Source organism: Homo sapiens, chromosome 8, assembly GCF_000001405.40.
Source record: "Homo sapiens chromosome 8, GRCh38.p14 Primary Assembly".
NCBI classification, from domain to species: Eukaryota; Metazoa; Chordata; class Mammalia; order Primates; family Hominidae; genus Homo; species Homo sapiens.
The window spans coordinates 14,122,023-14,140,273 of record NC_000008.11 but is presented as its reverse complement, the minus strand read 5'-3'; the positions used below and the strand labels follow the sequence as shown (position 1 = coordinate 14,140,273).

The 18,251-nt window shown below is 37.2% G+C and overlaps 1 protein-coding gene across 4 annotated transcripts in view, besides 3 other annotated features; it reads left to right on the top strand.

Annotated features, from left to right (window-relative positions):
* The window catches only part of SGCZ (sarcoglycan zeta), a 1,153,587-nt gene that overhangs the window by 1,098,158 nt on the left and 37,178 nt on the right, over positions 1–18,251 (top strand). The window lies entirely within an intron of this gene.
* Positions 1,249–1,418: an enhancer, noted in NCBI's record as "experimental_101818 CRE fragment used in MPRA reporter constructs". NCBI's record gives its function as "activates a minimal promoter by MPRAs in K562 erythroleukemia cells, with activity observed for both the introgressed and non-introgressed 8:13996450 variant alleles {active_cell/tissue: K562}" and the evidence as "EXISTENCE:reporter gene assay evidence [ECO:0000049][PMID:34662402]".
* Positions 17,335–17,504: an enhancer, noted in NCBI's record as "experimental_101789 CRE fragment used in MPRA reporter constructs". NCBI's record gives its function as "activates a minimal promoter by MPRAs in K562 erythroleukemia cells, with activity observed for the introgressed 8:13980364 variant allele {active_cell/tissue: K562}" and the evidence as "EXISTENCE:reporter gene assay evidence [ECO:0000049][PMID:34662402]".
* Positions 17,855–18,024: an enhancer, noted in NCBI's record as "experimental_101766 CRE fragment used in MPRA reporter constructs". NCBI's record gives its function as "activates a minimal promoter by MPRAs in K562 erythroleukemia cells, with activity observed for both the introgressed and non-introgressed 8:13979844 variant alleles {active_cell/tissue: K562}" and the evidence as "EXISTENCE:reporter gene assay evidence [ECO:0000049][PMID:34662402]".

Sequence of the window (18,251 nt, the reverse complement as noted above, 5' to 3'; positions counted from 1 at the left end):
CATCCTTGTCTTGTGCCAGTTTTCAAAGGGAATGCTTCCAGTTTTTGCCCATTCAGTATGATATTGGCTATGGGTTTGTCATAAATAGCTCTTATTATTTTGAGATACGTTCCATCAATACCTAGTTTATTGACAGTTTTTAGCATGAAGGTTGTTGAATTTTGTCGAAGGTATTTTCTGCATCTATTGAAACAATCATGTGGTTTTGATCTTTGGTTCTGTTACGTCTATTGATTTGCATATGTTGAACCAGCCTTGCATCCCAGGGATAAAGCAAATTTGATCTTGGTGGCTAAGCTTTTGGAGGTGCTGCTGGATTTGGTTTGCCAGTATTTTATTGAGGATTTTTGCATCGATGTTTATCAGGGATATTGATCTAAAATTCTGTTTTTTTGTTGTGTCTCTGCCAGGCTTTGGTGTCAGGATGATGCTGGCCTCATAACATGAGTTAGGGAGGATTCCCTCTTTTTCTATTGATTGGAATAGTTTCAGAAGGAATGGTACCAGCTTCTCTTTGTACCTCTGGTAGTGTTTGGCTGTGAATCCATGAAGTCCTGGACTTTTTTTGGTTGGTAGGCTATTATTGCCTCAATTTCAGAGGCTGTTTTTAGTCTATTCAGGGATTCAACTTCTTCCTGGTTTAGTCTTGCGAGGGTGTATGTGTCCAGGAATTCATCATTTTCTTCTAGATTTTCTAGTTTATTTGTGTAGAGGTGTTTATAGTATTCTTTGATGGTAGTTTGTATTACTGTGCGATCAGTGGTGATATCCCCTTTATCATTTTTTATTGCATCTATGTGATTCTTCTTTTCTTCTTTATTAGTCTTGCTAGCAGTCTACCTATTTTGTTAATCATTTCAAAAGCCAGCTCCTGGATTCATTGATTTTTTGAAGGGTTTTTTGTGTGTCTATCTCCTTCAGCTCTGCTCTGATCTTAGTTATTTCTTGCCTTCTGCTAGCTTTGGAATGTGTTTGCTCTTGCTTCTCTAGTTCTTTTAATTGTGACGTTAGGATGTCAATTTTAGATCTTTCCTGCTTTCTCTTGTAGGCTTTTAGTGCTATAAATTTCCCTCTACACACTGCTTTAAATGTGTCCCAGTGATTCTGATATGTTATGTCTTTTTTTTCTCATTGGTTTCAAAGAACATCTTTATTTCTGCCTTCATTTCATGATTTACCCAGTAGTCATTCAGGAGCAGGTTGTTCAGTTTCCACGTAATTGTGCAGTTTTGAATGAGTTTCTTAATCCTGAGTTCTAATTTGATTGCACTGTGGTCTGAGAGACAGTTTGTTATGATTTCTGTTCTTTTACATTTGCTGAGGAGTGCTATACTTTCGGCTATGTGGTCAGTTTTGGAATAAGTGCGATTTGGTGCTTAGAAGAATGTTTATTCTGTTGATTTGGGGTGGAGAGTTCTGTAGATGTCTATTAGGTCCGCTTGGTGCAGAGCTGAGTTCAAGTCCGGGATATCCTTGTTAACTTTCTGTCTCATTGATCTGTCTAATGTTTACAGTGGGGTGTTAAAATCTCCCATTATTATCGTGTGAGAGTTTTAGTTTCTTTGTAGGTGTGTAAGAACTTGCTTTATGAATCTGGGTGCTCCTGTATTGGGTGCATATATATTTAGGATAGTTAGCTCTTCTTGTTGAATTGATCCCTTTACCATTATGTAATGCCCTTCTTTGTCTCTTTTGATCTTTGTTGGTTTGAAGTCCATTTTATCAGAGACTAGAAATGCAACCCCCCCTTTTTTTTTTTTTGTTTTCCCTTTGCTTGGTAGATCTTCCTCCATCCCTTTATTTTGAGCCTATGTGTGTCTCTGCACGTGAGATGGATCTCCTGAATACAGCACACTGATGGGTCTTGACTCTTTATCCAGTTTGACAATCTTTGTCTGTTAATTGGGGCATTTAGCCCATTTACATTTAAGGTTAATATTGTTATGTTATGTTTGAATTTGATCCTGTCATTATAATGTTAGCTGATTATTTTGCTCGTTAGTTGATGCAGTTTCTTCCTAGCCTCGATGGTCTTTACAATTTGGCATGTTTTTGTAGTGGCTGGTACTGGTTGTTCCTTTCCATGTTGAGTGCTTCCTTCAGGAGCTCTTGTAAGGCAGGCCTGGTGGTGACAAAATCTGTCAGCATTTGCTTGTCTGTAAAGGATTTCATTTCTCCTTCACTTATGAAGCTTAGTTTGGCTGGATATGAAATTCTGGGTTGAAAATTCTTTTCTTTAAGAATGTTGCATATTGGCCCCCACTCTCTTCTGGCTTGTAGAATTTCTGCTGAGAGGTCTGCTGTTAGTCTGATGGGCTTCCCTTTGTGGGTAACCTGACCTTTCTCTCTGGCTGCCCTTAATATTTTTTCCTTCATTTCAACTTTGGTGAATCTGACAATTATGTGTCTTGGGGTTGCTCTTCTTGAGGAGTATCTTTGTGGCGTTCTCTGTATTTCCTGAATTTCAATGTTGGTCTGCCTTGCTAGATTGGGGAAGTTCTCCTGGATAATATCCTGAAGAGTGTTTTCCAACTTGGGTCCATTCTCCCCATCACTTTTAGGTACACCAATCAGACGTAGATTTGGTCTTTTCACAAAGTCCCATATTTCTTGGAGGCTTTGTTCATTTCTTTTTACTCTTTTTTTCTCTAAACTTCTCTTCTCACTTCATGTCATTTATTTGGTTTTCAATCACTGATACCCTTTTTTCCACTTGATTGAATCATCTACAGAAGCTTGTGCATGCATCACATAGTTCTCATGCCATTGTTTCAGCTCCATCAGGTCATTTAAGGCCTTCTCTACACTGTTTATTCTAGTTAGCCATTCATCTAACATTTTTTCAAGGTTTTTAGCTTCTTTGTGATGGGTTTGAACATCCTCCTTTAGCTCGGAGGAGTTTGTTATTACTGATCTTCTGAAGCCTACTTCTGTCAACTTGACAAAGTCATTCTCCGCCCATCTTTGTTCCGTTGCTTGCGAGGAGCTGCGATCTTTGGAGGAGAAGAGGTGCTCTGGTTTTTTAAATTTTCAGCTTTTCTGCTCTGGTTTCTCCCCATCTTTGTAGTTTTATCTACCTACCTTTGGTCTTTAATGATGGTGACCAATAGATGAGGTTTTGGTGTGGATGTCCTTTTTGTTGATGCTGATGCTCTTTCTTTCTGTTTGTTGGTTTTCCTTCTAACAGTCAGGACCCATAGCTGCAGGTCTGTTGGAGTTTAGTGGAGGTCCACCCCAGTCCCTGTTTGCCTTGGTATCACCAGTAGAGGCTGCAGAACAGCAAATATTGCAGAACGACAAATGTTGCTGCCTAATCCTTCCTCTGTAAGCTTCGTCTCAGAGGGGCACCTGCTGTATGAGGTGTCAGTCGGCCCTTCTGGGAAGTGTTTCCCATTTAGACTACTGAGGGGTCGGGGACCCACTTGAGGAGGCAGTCTGTCCATTCTCAGATCTCAAACTCCATGGTGGGAGAACCACTGCTCTTTTCAAAGCTGTCAGACAGGGACATTTAAGTCTGCAGAAGTTTCTGCTGCCTTTTGTTCAGCTATGTCCTGCCCCCAGAGGTGGAGTCTATGGAGGCAGGCAGGCCTCATTGAGCTGTGGTGGGCTGCATCCAGTTGGAGCTTCCTGGCAGCTTTGTTTACCTAGTCAAGCCTCAGCAATGGTGGAAGCCCCTCCCCCAGCCTCGCTGCCACCTCGCAGTTTGATCTGGGACTGCTGTGCTAGCAGTGAGCAAGGCTCTTTGGGTGTGGAACTCACTGAGCCAGGTGTGGGATATAATGTACTGGTGTGCCATTTGCTAAGACCATTGGAAAAGCGCAGTATTAGGGCAGGAGTGTCCCAATTTTCAAGGTACCATCTGTCACTGCTTCCCTTGGCTAGGAAAGGGAATTCTCTGACCCCTTGAGCTTCCTGTGTAAGGTGATGCCCCACCCTGCTTCGGCTCACACTTCATGGGCTGCACCCACTGTCCACGCAGTCCCAGTGAGATTAACCCGGTACCTCAGTTGGAAATGCAGAAATCACCTGTCTTCTGCGTCACTCACACTGGGAGCTGTAGACTGGAGTTTTTCCTTTTCGGCCATCTTGGAACCATCATCCAGTTGATTCTTTAGTGTTTGAAGAGCATTTCATATTTTGGCTGTGGTATGTAGTGCTTTTTATCTATTGCTAGATTTTATTTGCTAATAGTTTGTTGAGGATTTCTCTGTGTAATTATATGTGCAATATTGGTCTATAGTTTTTCGGCTTTATACTATTTTTTTGGTCTGGTTTGGGTATGAGGGTACTACCAATCTCATAAAACTAGTTAGTATTTTATCCTCTTCTATTTTTTGTAAGATATGTAAAATTGGTGCTAACTCCTTTTATAAACGTTTTGTAGAATTCTCCAGGGTCTATAGTATTTTGGCTTTAATACTGTTTTTTGGTCTGATTTTGGTATCAGGGTACTACCAATCTCATAAAACTAGTTAGTATAAAACTAGTTAGTATTTTATCCTCTTCTGTTTTTTGGAAGATATGTAAAATTGGTGCTAACTCATTTTTTAGATGTTTGGTAGAATTCTCCAGTAAAACTATCTGTGTTTGAAGACTTTTTTTGGAAGCAATTCAGTTACAAATTCAAGTTCTTTAACAGTTACAGGACTATTCAGATTGTTTATTTCATGTCGATTGAGTTTTAATAGTTTGCATTTTGTGAGATTTTTTTCATTTTTTTCTACATTTTCTTCAGTCTTTCTTCAGATTACTATACCCATCTATGCCCATGACTACTCAAGATAGTCATTCACTCATCTGGGAGAAAGCCCTGTTATCCTCTTACTTCTTTTGTATTCTTCAAAGCCACATAACTCTCCAGTATTTTCCCCCACCTTAGAAACAAGTTAGGCATGCCTATGATATTTCTGCTTTCTTCCTATCACATCAGCCCCTTTAAAGAAAGAAGATAATTATAAACAAGAAGAAAGGAAGAGATAGTGAAGGAGAAAAAGTGAAATAATTCAAAATATTATTTTGTTACACAGGTGAAAAAGCTTTGAATTTATTTTATTATTTATTCATTTAAACAAAATTACTGAATACCCACTATATGCCTAGTACTCTATTATATTCTAGGAAACACAGTAGAAAGCGTAATGGAATTTATCCTGTTAATGTAGAATTTATGATCTGGGTGGTGGTTGCTTTTTCTTTAAAAGGTTAGACAATAAATATTTTAAGCAATTTTGACCATACACTCTGTTTTAACTACTCCATTCTGCCGTGATAGTGTGAAGGTATCTATAGACAGTATGTAAGTGGATACGCTACTGTGTGTTTCAATAATAACATAATAATTTATGTTAAAGTTTTAATTTAACATTCTCATCATGAACTATTATATCTGTCATGTTTTTAAAAAACATATCAAACAGTAAAAACCATTCTGAGCTCACAAGCCAGGCAACAACAGGTGGAGAACTTGGTATGGATCATGGGCCAATTTGCCAAACCCTGATTTAAAAAAACAGAAATGTGAAATCAGGACACAGAGAAAACGAAGTCTTTGCGGCAGCCTATACAGATAGGCTGAGAGCTAACACCTGCTCATGGTATTTTTTCCCACATAGGTAAAGAGGATTTACCAAGAAGCGAACAGTGCTTAAATTTGAGAGCCCTGACAATTTGTTGTGGCTCTGATATATTTTTTAAGTGGTGCAAAATAACATACAGTAACTCAAATATTTAAGAATTCTATTACTTTCTATGCCAATTTCCTCAGACACAGGAAATTACAGGCACAGTTAATTTGAATGACACATATATTGAGATATAGTCAAATATATTCATATGTTCACTTTCATTCATACCTGTCATCTTTAGCCTTCATAGTATAGAATTACTTGCTTGAATACTTCTACAGGCCATTAGGCTGCCTTTCCCTGCATCATGATACATGTACTGGCTCTGAAAGTGTGTATGTTCTGGAGGACAAAAATTATTTGATGAGGTACTAGTTTATGGAAAATATTCTAATTATTGAATTTGTAAAATTTCACATATCTATTATCTAATATCTAATTGTGCCTAGTGAAAATGGAAGTTTTCTCCTGTCAAGAATATGTTTGAAAATGCAGTGTATACAAATGTAAATGTAAAATAGATATTTGTCAATTGTTATGCTCGTATAACATAACCTGTAGCTGTACCTCACACATGTGAAATAACATTTTTATACATCATAATGTATTGGATTCTATCATATTCTGATGCATATTCATGTACTGAATTCTGGTGGATCAATTTGAAATAGGAAGTAAAATTGCAATACACACAGCCTGAGGAAATAAATGTTCTGGTGGCATAGTACCTAAATATATTTATTAAGTAGTCAATGTTGGAAAAGGGAAATAAGTTACACAAAACTGGAGTGCAGTATAATGTAGTGGTAATTTTAAAATACATGTTGAGGTTAATATGAGCGAAATGATGGAGCAGCAGCTCCAAGCTTTCATCCTCCTAAAGAAGCATTAAAAAAAAAGCAGAAACTGTCAAAAGTAATTTTGTCAAAACTCAGAAAAAGAGTCAAAGGTTTACAGCAACCAAGTAAACACTGATTAAAAAAAATAGTAAAAAAGTGACTTCAAAATGGTAAAAATCTTTGAGGAGTTTTTTACTTGTCCTACCCAATCCTGTTCCTGGCTCTATGGCAGTCTTCAGACACCAACAATTAGTGTTCTTAGAACAGAGTCCTGGCCCCTGGTTCCAGAGGAAGCAGAGAAGACCTTATGCACAAATTATTGTATGTGTCTCTTGTAACCTGTCTGGAGACTACGTGAAAGAAAAGATGCTCTTCTCTGTTTCATCTGTCTCAGAACTCTAGCCATAAAATCTTCCTGGAAAATGGAATGGAATTGCTCAAAAAACAATGCAAGCTGAATTAATGACAGACAGATGTTAGGTTAAAAGATTAAATGGAAAATATAAAATAGATGCATTAATGGATCAGGAGCAAACATTGTGGAGAATTTCTCTGGGAAATTGGGACGTTCAGAATCACATGTGTACGGGGTGGGCGATTGAGAAAGCTGCACATATGCTTAGGGCAAGATACATGTTCACAAAAGAACTGAAGTCACTTTAAGTTTTCACCTTGGGCTGATCCCCAGGCTCAGTCCCCTGGCTAAGTGTTGAAAGAGTGCCCCAATACAGAGCCAATCTGCAATAACTGAGAAACGTGGTTTTTTTATTCATTTTGGTTTTGTTTGTGTGCTTGTTTTTTTTATTGTTACAGCTCCTAGCATTCAAGGAAATCTTCTCAAAACACTAGCTGAGCACAAGGAAAAGAGGTTCAGAGACTGCACACAAAGCGAATTTCAGTCTTTAGAAAAAAGTTAACAAAAGTCACTAAGCAAATAAATTCCTACAATTTTAAAAAAGTGTCAACAACAACAAAAACCAGCACAATTCGCAAAAGGTGGCAGAATCTGATTTTAGAGTTGCCACTTTATAATACTCAAATGCCCAGTTTGCAACAGAAAGTCACAATTCATACAAAGAAACAGAAATGAAAAGGCTACTAAAAGGAACAAGATAAATGGACAGAAACCAACCCTGAAGAAATTCAGACACTGGATTTAATAAATAGAGTTTAAAATAGCGATTTAAAATATGTTCAAGTAGCTAAAGAAAAACATGGACAAAAACTAAGGAACATGAAGTAAATAATGTATAAACAAAATAAGAATATTGTTAAATAGAAAGTATAAAACAAACAGAACGTATTGTTTAGAAGATTTCTGTAACGATATACAAGAAATTAGTAATGGTGGTTGTCTTAGGTACAAAGGACTTTGGATAGCTGGAAGACAAGGATGGGAAAGAGAAGTAGTTGTCACTGTAAATGCTTCTGTGCCTTTGAAATTTGTATTTTGTTGCAATCATGTGTTGTGTACACATATTACCTATTTAAGAGGAATAAACTTATTCAAAAATAAAACTGAAATGCTGGTATTTAACATTATAATAATTGAAATAGAACATATACTAGCCAAGCTCAGTAGCAGATTTAAGCAGGTAGAAGAAAAAAATAGCAAACTTTAAGACAGGCCAAGCAAAATTACTGAGTCTGAGGAGCAGAAATGAAAAAAAGGAATAAGGAAAGTTGAAGACAGGCTAAGGGACCTCTGGGACACCATCACATGGACCAATATATGTATCATGGAGGTCAAATAAGAAGAAAGGGGCAAAATACAATCATGCATTACTTATCAACAGGCATGCATCCTGAGAAATGCATCTCAAGTGTTTTCATCATTATGTGAACATCATAGAGTGTATTTACACAGCCCTAGATGGGACAGCCTACTATCCACCTAGACTATATAAAATAACCTACTGCTCCTAGGTTACAAAGCTGTACAGCATGTCACTGTATTGAATACTGTAGGCAGTTGCACACAGTAGTAAATATTTGTGTATGTAAACATAGAAAATGTACTATAAAAATACAATATTAAGGGATCGCTGTCATATATGTTATCTGTTGCTGACTAAAATGTTATCTGTTTCATGGCTTATTTGAAGAAATAATGGCCTAAAACATTACAAATTTGATGAAACACGTGCATATGCCTGTCCAAGAAGCTTAACAAACATGATGTAGGATAAACTGAAAGATAGTCAGACAAGACACTTTTTAATCAAGCTGGCAAAAACAAAGACAAAAAGGGAATGTATAAAGCAGCAAGAGAGAAGGAACTTGTCATAGATAAAAGATTCTCAATAAGATCAATAATTTGTCATCAGGAACCATAGAGGCCAGAATACAATTGGAATAACATACAGAAATTGCTAAAAGTTCTATGGAGAACAAAAACAACAACAACTTGTCAACCAAGAACTGTAGGTGTTTGCAGTGGTAATAACAAACTGCATTTCTGGGGGCCTACTGCTTACCTGTCTACAAGAAGTCCCTTTTGGTTCCAAGCTGATCCTGACAGGGAAATGATGTGGCAAAGGCTGCGTTCTTTGCTCCTCCCTTTAAGGTGCCACCCTGGATTTCTGTACTCCATCAAGATACCTCTGAAGCGGCATCTTTTGTCTGGGTTAATACTAGAGATTCGTTGCTTCATTCCAAGGAAATCAAGGATGTGGACACACAAGGAGTGAGTTTAAGAGCAGAAGTTTGATAGGCAAAAGATCAAAGATCCCTCCTGCAGAGGGACAGCGTTCCAAACAGATCTCCCTATTCGTGGTTAGGTGCAGCTGGTTTTATAGATGAGTTTGAGGAGGTGGTATCTGATTTACACAGGGCACAAAGGATTGGCTGGACTAGCTGTGCCATTTACATAGCATTTGAAGAAGTTGGCTACTCCACCCTAATATTTTTTATGCAACTGGATTCTCTACCTGGCTGGCACCATGTTGCTTGCTTGCTTACTGCACACACGGCAACAAAGAAAAGGGAAGCTAGAGCCTCTATGAAAAAACATACCTGCCTTCCAGGTACGGTCCCTTTTTCTATTGGCACAGCTGCTGGCATTTACCTATGCAAGCATCCAGCTTGCATACCTATGTCTGCAGCTTGATTTTTCAAGCTGTTTTTCGTTAGAAAATAAATGATTTAGTGGCTGCTTTTTATTAAAAGGAAATCCCACCAAGGACTCTCTTACCCTCACTATCTGCCTAAATAATTTCTTTTTAGCCCCTGTGTTACCTCCACTCACTTGCTGTACTTTAGCCTTCTTCTTCAGGCAGTCTAGTCAAAAACTGCTTATTTATTTGTTGTTTTATTCATTTTTTTGTGTGTGGGAATAAACATGGCAGGAACCCCTAGTCAGCTATCTTGCTCACATCGTGGAAGGAAGGACTGTTATCTATATTTTCTTAACAGCTATGATTCTTTTTCTTATCTCCATATTTTTGACAATAATATATTTTGATTATATAGTGATAAAAGAGAAAAGTTCTGACATTTTGAATCATTTGTTTTTTTTTTCATTTTAGAGGTTTAGCTTCTACCAAGATTCTTATTTTGCACCGTAATTAAATTGCGTGTGTGTGTTTATATACATGAATAGACTTAGCACTCTTAAAAATCAGTTGGCCATATATTTGTGAGTTTCTTTTTAATTTCAATTTTATTCTATTGGCCTACATGTCTGTCCTTATACTAGTTCCACACTGATTTGATTGCTGTAGTTTTGTGTTAAGTTTTATAATCAGAAACTGTGAGTTATTTGACTTCGTTTTCCTTTTTCAAGATTATTTTGACTGATAATCATTTCATATGAACTTGGGATCACGTTTTCCATATCTGCACAAAATGGCTGTTGTGATTTTGATAAGGATTGCATTGAATCTGAAGAATACTTGCGATAACACTGACAGCTTAACCATATTAAATCTTCTTACCTATGGACATGTTATGTGTTTCCAGTTACTTCTGTCTTTATTCATTTCTCTGGGCAATGTTTTGTCATTTTCAGTGGTTTGGCTGTTAACCTTTTTTGTCAAATTTATTCCTAACTATTATTATATTATTTTATATGTTATTGTCAATGGAATTACTTTCTTAATGTCTTTTTTGATTTTTTTTAATGACGTATAGAAACACTGATTTGTGTTTAGTTTTCTCTTCTCTTCTTCAAGGTATAAAGTTAGATTGTTGAAGTCTTTCTTCTTTTATAATGGATGTTCTTATCTTTTTAAATTTCCTTCTGAGCCCTGCCTTTGTTGCAAAATTTTGGGTAGGTTGTGTTTTTGTTTTCATTTGTCTCTTTTTAAATGTGTTATGGTTTCTTTCATTACCCATTGGTTAAGAGGCTATTGTTTAATTTCTACATGTTTATGGATTTTTCAGTCTTCCTTATTTTTCAAATTTTTATTTCTATAAATTTATGAGTACAAGAGCAGATTTTTTTTTTTTTTTTTTTTTTTTTTTTGAGACGGAGTCTCGCTCTGTCACCCAGGCTGGAGTGCAATGGCACGATCTTGGCTAATTGTAACCTCTGCCTCCTGGGTTCAAGCAATTCTCTTCTCTCTGCCTCCTGAGTAGCTGGGAGTACAGGCACCTGCCACCACACCCAGCTTTTTTTTGTATTTTTAGTAGAGAGGGGTTTCACCATGTTGGCCAGGGTGGTCTTGAACTCCTGACCTCAGGTGATCCACCCACCTCGGCCTTCCAAAGGGCTGGGATTACAGGCATGAGCCACCATGCCCGACCCAAGAGAAGGTTTTTTACATGACTGTGTTGCATATTGGTGAAGTCTGGGCTTTTAGCGTACTCATATAACCTAAAAAGTGTACACTGTACCAAATAGGTAGGATTTCATCCCTCATCCTCCTCTCCACCGTCCACTTTTGGAGTCTCTATTGTCAATTATTCCACTCTGTATGGCTGTTATTTAACTCCCACTTAGAAGTGAGAATATGTCGTTTTTGACTTTGTTTCTGAATCATTACATTTATGATGATCACCTTCAGTTCCATCCATGTTACTGCAAAATACATGATTTTATTCTTTTTTTATGGCTGAGTAGTAGTAGTCAATGGTGTGTGTGTGTGTGTGTATATGTATATATACACACACATCACATTTTTATCACATTTTTAAATTCAGACATTCACTGATGGACACTTAGGTTGATTCCATGATTTTGATATTGTGAATAGTGCTGCAGTAAACATGTAGTTACAAGTATTTTTGATAAAATGATTTACTTTCCCTTAGGTAGATACCAAATACTGGAATTGCTGGACTGAAGAATAATTCTATTTTTAGTTCTTTGAGAAATCTGCATACTGTTTTCCATAGAGGTTGTAGTAATTTACACTTCCACCAACAGTGTATAAGCGTTCCCTTTTATCTGCATCCTCACCAATGTGTTATTTTCAAGTTTTAATAGTAGCTGTTCCGAACGGTGTAAAATGATATCTCATTGTGATTTTAATTTGCATTTCTCTGATAATCAGTGACATTTAGCATTTTTTCAACATGGTTTGTTGGTTTGCTGAAAAATGGTTTTCAAATGGCTTGTTGGCCATTTATGTCTCTGCCTTTGAAAAATGCCTGTTTATGTCATTTGCCCATTTTTTAATGGTGGTAGAATCGAAGCACTGTCTTCCACAATGGTTGAAATAGTTTACACTCCCACCAGCAGTGTATAAGCATTTTTTTCTCCACAACCTCGCCAGAATCTGTTATTTTTGACTGTTTAATGATAGCTATTATCCTTAGCAAACTAACACAGGAACAGAAAACCAAATACCGTATATTCTCACTTATAAGTGGGAGCTAAATGATAAGAACTTATGTATACAAAGAAGGAAACAACAGACACTTTGGTCTACTTGATGCGGGGGGAGGTTGGGAGGAGGGAGCAGAGCAGAAAAGATAATTATCGGGTACTGGGCTTAATACCTGGGTGATGAAAGAATTTGTACAAAAATCCCCTGTGACATGAGTTTACCTATGTAATAACCCTTCACATGTATCTCCAATTATAAAATAAAAGTTAAAAAATTCTAAAACAGGCCAGGCGCGGTGGCTCATGCATGTAATCCCAGCACTTTGGGAGGCTGAGGCGTGTGGAGCACAAGATCAGGAGATCAAGTCCATCCTGGCTAACACGGTGAAACCATGTCTCTACTAAAAAATACAAAAAATTAGCCTGGTGTGGTAGTGGGTGCCTGTAGTCCCAGCTACTCGGGAGGCTGAGGCAGGCTAATGGCATGAACCCGGGAGGCGGAGGATGCAGTGAGCCGAGATTGTGCCACTGCATTCCAGCCTGGGTGACACAGTGAGACTCAGTATCAAAAAAATAAATAAATAGAAATAAAAATGAATAAATAAATCACAATATTAAAATTAATCAAAGTGATGAGATTGGTAACATATTGGCATATGCTTTGCCACTGACAAAACACAGTCATTTATAGTAATTCATTTGCTCCTCAGTATTTAGGGGATGTGTATTATTATTGTTACTCTGTAACCTCTGGTCTCAGGTTAAATGATTTATAGAAAATACACACAGCTATCAGTGGCAGAACGGGAACCAGACCTATGCTTTCTCACTGACAATAATAATTCAGCCTCATTTATTTATTTATTTATTTTAATTTTATCTTACTTTAAGTCCCAGGATACATGTGCAGAACGTGCAGGTTTCTTACATAGGTAAACCATGTAAACCTTACCTTACATAGGTAAGCCATGGTGGTTTGCTGCATCTATCAACTTGTCACCTCGGTATTAAGCCACACATGCATTAGGTATTTGTCCTGATGCTCTCCCTCCCCCTGACCCCCCAGATGGCCCCAGTGTGTGTTGTCCCCCTCCCTGTGTCCATGTGTTCTCATTGTTCAGCTCCCATATATAAATGAGAACATGTGGTGTTTGATTTTCTGTGTTAGTTTGCTGAGGATGATGGCTTACAGCTTCATCCATGTCCCTGCAAACGACATGATCTCATTCCCTTTTATGGCTGCATAGTATTCCGTGGTGTATATGCACCACATTTTCTTTACCCAGTTGATGACTGATGGGCATTTGGGTTGGTTCCATGTCTTTGCTACTGTCAATAGTGTTGCAGTAAACATACGTGTGTGTATCTTTATAACAGAATGGATTTGTATTCCTTTGGATATATACCCAGTAATGGGATTGCTGGGTCAAATGGTATTTCTGTTTCTAGATTCTTGAGGAAATGCTACACTGTCTGCCACAATTGTTACACTAATTTTCATTCCCAACAGTGGAAAAGTATTCCTATTTCTCCACAGCTGCTCTAGCATCTTGTTTTGTTTTGTTTTGTTTTTACTTTTTAATAATAGCCATTCTGACTGGCATAATATGGTATCTCACTGTGGTTTTGATTTGCATTTCTCTAATCAGTGATGTTGAGTTTTTTCGTTATATGTTTGTTGGCTGAATAAATGTCTTCTTTTGAGAAGTGTCTGTTCATGTCCTTTGCCCATTTTTTGATGGGATTGTTGTTTTCTCTTATAAATTTGTTTAAGTTCCTTGTAAATTCGGGATGTTAGACATTTGTCAAATGGGTAGATTGCAAATATTTTCTCCCATTCTGTAGGTTGCCTGTTCACTCTGATGATGGTTTCTTTTGGCTGTGCAGAAGCTCTTTAGTTTAATTAGATCCTATTTGTCAATTTTAGCTTTTGTTCTAATTGCTTTTGGCTATGTCACCATAAAATCTTTGCCCATGCCTATGTCCTGAATGTTATTGCCTAGCCTTTCTTCTAGGGTTTTTATGGTTTTGGGTTTTACATTTATGTCTTTAATCTATCTTGAGTTAATTTTTGTGTAATGTGTGACGAACAAATCCAGTTTTCAGTTTTCTGCATATGGCACGCCAGTTTTCCCAGCACCAACCATTTATTGAATAGGGAATCCTTTTCCCATTGCTTGTTTTTGTCAGGTTTGTCAAAGATCAGATGGATGTAGAGGTGTGGTCTTACTTCTGGTATCTCCATTGTGTTCCATTGGTCTATATGTCTGTTATGGTACCAGTACCATGTGATTTTGGTTACTGTAGCCTGGTAGTTTGGAATCAGGTAGTGTGATGCCTCCAGCTTTGTCCTTTTTGCTTAGGATTGTCTTGGCTATAAGGGTTCTTTTCTGGTTGCATATGAATTTTAAAGTATTTTTTCTAATTCTATGAAGAATGTCCATTGTAGTTTGATGGAAATAGCATTAAATCTGTAAATTACTTTGGGCAGTGTGGCCATTTTCACAATAGTGATTCTTCTTCTTTTTTTTTTTTTTGAGACGGAATCTTTCTCTGTCACCTGGGCTGGAGTGCAGTGGCGTGATCTCGGCTCACTGCGAGCTCTGCCTCCCTGGTTCACGCCATTCTCCTGCCTCAGCCTCCCAAGTAGCTGGGACTACAGGCGCCCGCCACCATACGCAGCTAATTTTTTTGTATTTTTAGTAAAGACGGGGTTTCACCATGTTAGCCAGGATGGTCTTGATCTCCTGACCTTGTGAACCACCCACCTCGACCTTGTGAACCACCCACCTTGGCCTCCCAAAGTGCTGGGATTGCAGGCGTGAGCCACCACGCCTGGCCAACAATAGTGATTCTTACTATGCATGAGGATGGAATGTTTTCCCATTTCTTTGTGTCCTCTCATTTCATTTATCAGTGGTTTGTAGTTCTCCTTGAAGAAGTCCTTCGCATCCCCTGTTAGTGGTATTCCTTGGTATTTTATTCTCTTTGTAGCAGTTGTGAATGGGAGTTCATTCATAATTTAGCTCTCTGCTTGTCTTTTGTTCGTGTATAGGAATTTTTGTGATTTTTGCACATAGATTTTGTATCCTGAGATTGCTGAAGTTGCTTATCAGTTTAAGGAACTTTTGGTCAGCTTCATTTCTACTTTATTTGTGTCATCACATGAATGTATATATAATACCTTTAGGTTCTTAATAGAAATTTCTATAAGAAGAAGATGGGCTTTTAGGATCCAATTTATTTTGTAGCTAGGTTATTTCAAGCAGATTTATTTAGTGTGCTGGAAAAAGAAGTGAATAAGAATGAGCATATTTGAATATTAAATATGTAACTTTCTTAACTAAATCACAATTCCTCCTGGAGAAACTCTTTATCTTGATGTAGCTATGTAAATTGGAAACTTAAGATATGCCTAACAATGTCAGAGCAAGAGATTAAGATGAATGATTGATGTTATAATCAATTTGGTAAAACAGTAATATAATCTTCATCTGCAATTTTAAATGTCTATTGCAATTTGAGAAGCACTATTTTAGTTTTAAGTCAACTGTATATTAATTAATCAAGCTGACCATTGTCTTCAAAAGGAACTTGCTGGAGTATATAAAAATAAATTTTATTCCTAATTTCATCTTTGGGGTCTTGTGTGGGTGTGTTTCACATAAGTTGGATAAAATTGCCATGTTCATGTAAATAATAACCAAGGCAATCTGTCATTTCACAGTAAAGGTAAAAAGGGAGAGAGAGAGAGGAGAAAGAGGGAGTGAAGGACAAAGGAAAAAATATTTCAAGCTCGAATGGACTGCCTACATTTTAAAATTATTAAATGGTTGTATTAATTTCTTGGTGCTGCTGTTATAATTACTAAAAATTTAGCAGCTTACAAAACACAAATTTATTATTTCCAGTTCTAGAGGTTACAAGTTTGAACCTGTTTTCACTAAGATGATATCAAGGTGATTCCTGGTCTGAGCTCCCTTCTGAGTCAATCTGTTTCCTTTGCTTTTCCAGCTCCTAAAGACCCTCATCATTACTCTAGCTCTTGGCCCTTCCTCTATCTTCAAAGTTAACAACATTAGCCAACTGTCTGTCTCAGACTATTCTTGTGCCTCTCTCTTCCATTTTTAATAGTCCTGGTGATTATTTTGGCTCCTCCTAGATAATGCAGGATAATCCTGTTTTTAAGATAATCCAATGAGCAATCAGTATCATTTGTCATCTGAATTACCCTTTGCCTGTTAACTGTGACATATTCACAGGTTTCAGGGATTAGGATGGAGACCATTGAGGGCAGGGGAGATCACGATTATGTCTACCATTCTAATTGATTGATAATTGATCTGTTTCATTTAAAAATAGTTTTACTATTAAATTGAAAACTGCTAGAAGATAGAAGCAATAGTTTCCTACTATGTTAGTCTGTTTTTGCATTGCTACAGAGAAATAACTCATTCAGAAGATGGAGTATATAGGTCTTGGTCATGGCTCTGGATGTGAACTATTAATCTCATGTGACATGCCTTGAAAAGTAGGATGGATGATATTTAAGAATGATTTAATCACAATATAATATTTTCAAATCTCTCTATATTAAGTATAGTAATCATTTATAGGATCATTTTCCCATTTACCCACAAATTGTTTAACATCACTTCATTTCCCACATTTCAACAAAATTGGCAAATAATTTATGTTTCATTGCATGGCTTCTTTTAAGTTTACAACTGTAAAACCAAATGAATAATTAATTGGCAATTACTGATTGTTTGCTTTGTTATTTTCGGTCTTTAAGACAAGTGAATCAAAACAAACTTTCAGAATCAGTCTGTTTACTCATCACCCCTTTATTGTTTGGCAGATGAAATAAATATCTTGGAATCTCAGGCTTAAAATGTACGTTAAGTTTTATTGCATTCTTCCAAAAAAGTTTGAATCTTCTCTCTTACGTCTTTGTAATTTGGTCGTTCTTCTTTTCAACACTTGGTGACAGAACTATCATGACTTCTCAGGACAGTCTGATTTATCTTTAGTCAAAATTGACTAAAAAGATTCACTTTATCTCTAAAAGGGATTACAACATACTTCTATTTAAGATGACATTCAGTTGAGTTACTGCTACCTTTTAAAAAGAATGATAAACATTTTGTTGAGGTAGCTGGCTCACTTTTTAAAGAAAATATCTTAAAATAGAAACCTTTAAGATGTGATAATGTTTCCCAAATTTCTCTGCATACTGAACAGTATATTTGAGTTTCTAATGGGGATAAGGGAGAAAGAAGAATTCCTAAAAACAAGGGGAGAAGAAATGAGTTGACCACAACTTGAAAATATGGCTGCTAACTGGAATTAGCCAGTGAAGATGTTATGACTCTTTAAAAATGTAGACATTTATGCATATCTTATGGATATTTAATATTCATTTTTAGGTTACTCAATTCACTAGTGTTCTAATAGTTTTAAATGGCTAAAAGTATTCTATTTTGTTGAATCACAATAGTTTATTAGATAATTCCCTATTGATGAACATTTTGATTAAATACAATGAACCTACATGGACTGTTCTTAACATCCTTGTAGCTACATCTCTGTGCACATAAAGAACTCTTTGGGATAAATTCCTTGAAATTGAATTATTTGTTCAAAGGGAAAGGACCCCAGAATGTTTTTGTTATTTTGCCCTCTCATGGGCAGTGAATGAGAATGTTCCTATCTCTGAATCACCATAGCTCCTTAAAGTCTTTTGTTTTGTTTTGTTTTTGGAGACTGAGTCTTGCTCTGTCTCCCAGGCTGCCGAGTGCAGTGGCGCAATCTCAGCTAACTGCAAGCTCCACCTCCCGGGTTCACGCCATTCTCCTGCCTCAGCCTCCCGAGTAGCTGGGACTACAGGCGCCTGCCGCCATGCGCGGCTATTTTTTTGTATTTTTAGTAGAGACCGGGTTTCACCATGTTAGCAGGATGGTCTCGATCTCCTGACCTTGGGATCTGCCCGCCTCGGCCTCCCAAAGTGCTGGGATT